The sequence below is a fragment of the Homo sapiens genome, chromosome 13 (assembly GCF_000001405.40).
Source record: "Homo sapiens chromosome 13, GRCh38.p14 Primary Assembly".
Classification (NCBI taxonomy): Eukaryota; Metazoa; Chordata; class Mammalia; order Primates; family Hominidae; genus Homo; species Homo sapiens.
In genome coordinates, this window is record NC_000013.11 from 85,239,472 (window position 1) to 85,241,933 (window position 2,462).

A 2,462-nucleotide genomic window follows, 5' to 3' on the forward strand; every position below is an offset into this window, starting at 1 on the left:
ATTGGAAAAAAGGTTTGGGGAACTCAAGTCGGATAAGGACAAGATATTATAGACAGAAGTCTTAGAACTTTTCTGTCTCTAGTCATATGGGACCTAATCACATTTCCAAACTAATTTTAGGAAAGTCTAAGGGAAGTCTTTAACCATCTTAGGGACAAGGTACAAATAAGTCGTGATTATTTATTCTCTTCTAGCTTCCTTGCTGCTCTAATTTTTCTTCTACTTTTTATTATATAAAGTTAAAAAAGAAAAGAAAATCCACAAATCATCAAGGTGATGGTGAGACAAAAATATTGTACTGGATCTTTAAAATTGAATTAAAGTGTTCTTTAATTTATTATTATTATTATTATTTTGAGACAGGGTCTCACTCTGTCACCCAGGCTGGAGTATGGTGGCAGGATAATGAGCTTACTGCATGCTCAACTTCCCCAGCTCAAGTGACCCTCTCACCTCAGCCCCCGAAGTAGCTGTGACCACAGGCATGCACTACCATACCCAGCTAACTTTTAAAATTTTGTAGAGTTGAGGTCTCACTGTGTTGCCCACTCTGGTCTCAAATTCTGGGCTCAAGCGATCCTCCCACCTCGGCTTCCCACAGTGCTGAGATTACAGGTGTGAGCCATCATGTCTGGCAAATGAAAGTATTAAGTTGATTTATTTTAACTTATAGTAAGGTAATTTTAGTCATCTTTAAGCACAAATTCAAGTCTCTACAAGTAATAACATCTATAGCAAAATACTGTAGCACCGTTTTGTAACCAAATGATTTATTTTGTTGATCCTTGGTTGGAATTTAGAAGTTGAATAATGTTGATTTTTTCTGGGTCAGTTTCCTAATGCATATATATCTATAATAAAACTTTTTCTAACTGCCTTATAGGTTAAAATACTAATCAAATCAATCAAATACTATGAAAATGATTTCATTTTGTCAATAGAATAATAATTATGATTCAAACTAATTCAATTAATATAATTCCAAAAGTTAAAGACAATTATAAATGCATATTTTGTTTCTACATAGAAAAATAGTAACTCAGAAATTCTAGAGAAAATAAGAAGAATAAAATGTTGATCTGCTGTCACAGATGAGTACAGATATCTGTTCCTACAGGTAGGGCCATCTGTGTGTACCGCAGGTTTATTGCTCTGTGACAACTTCCTGCTGAATGTTAACACAGCTAAATCTAGAGCAAATTGTATGAGTATGGCTTCATTTTCAAGTATGTTAGTTGTTTATTTTGTTGTCAAGAAATGTTTTTATTTGTTATTGTTAAGTTTCATGGCCCCAGTAATTTTATCGCACATTTAAGAAAAAAATCATTAACTACTCTTCTATATATTTGATTGCTTTGACAATCTACTCAAACTTAGAAATCATGTTATATTTTCTGAGTTATGTATTCTAACTTATCCCTAACCAAAAATTTTCAAATAAGAATCTATTCATGAACAAAATTTGTCAAGTATAATAGTGTATCTTTTAATCTATATAATGCAAAAGTTCCAGTTCTTTATTGTTCTTTTTATCTAATAAATAAGTAATTGTAACAGTAACCTCAAAGTATATGTACATATGTGTGTGCTTTCTATCATATTGTTTCATAAAAATGGTTAAACATTGTAAAATGTTAAATGTGGTAAAATGGTAAATGTGAATTAACAGAGTTGTGAATCCACCTCTTCTCCCTTTCTCTCCGTGGTTCCCCGAAATGCACCACTTCTTTTCCTGGCTATGCCTAGCTTCCACCTCAAGGACCTTTTCAAGTACATACTGGCACAAAGTCAAAAGTTTTAAGGTTGGGAGACATAGCAAGGTGCTTACTCATTTCCACTAAAAACAGATCTCCCTTTCCTTAAAATTGCACTGCTACCCACTGTCCTTCTGCACAAAAACAGAGCCTCATACAAATAGTAAAATCATGGTTGATATCCCCAGAACTCACCCAATTTGGCATTTTTTCCTAATCTAAGATGATGTTGCTGACATGATCTCTCACAACACTCCACCATTCTTCCTTGGCATATAAAACTGTACTTTAAAAATATTTCTTACACTTACTCATATATAATTTATATATTCAGTTGGGATTTTTCTCTGGCACTATGTACCTTTGCAAACTTCCTCTGGCTTCAAATACTTCATATAGGTCTTATATATATATATATGACAGAATAGACCTCCATCACAACCAATTTCTTGAAGTTCAGCATTTTATTTCACATTAATTTCCCCTTGGAGTGTTGTCCTTTAGGGTTCAGTTGCAAAGAACATAATCCATTCTATCTAGTTTAGGTAGAGTGAGGTTTCCTCCTAATTGGGAAGATAAATATTTCTTCATTCCTGGATACCTATCAACTTATTAATCTTTATAATTCTATTTTAAATGTTTTTCATAGACTTTTACTTACATCATTTATCCTAATTCTGATCCTTAAAATTTACTCTCAGCCTCTTA

At 32.9% G+C, this 2,462-nt stretch overlaps 1 annotated feature.

The window, feature by feature from the left end:
- Positions 1,543 to 1,837: a silencer, noted in NCBI's record as "tiled region #7086; HepG2 Repressive non-DNase unmatched - State 24:Quies". NCBI's record gives its function as "represses a minimal TATA promoter and a strong SV40 promoter by Sharpr-MPRA in HepG2 cells {active_cell/tissue: HepG2}" and the evidence as "EXISTENCE:reporter gene assay evidence [ECO:0000049][PMID:27701403]".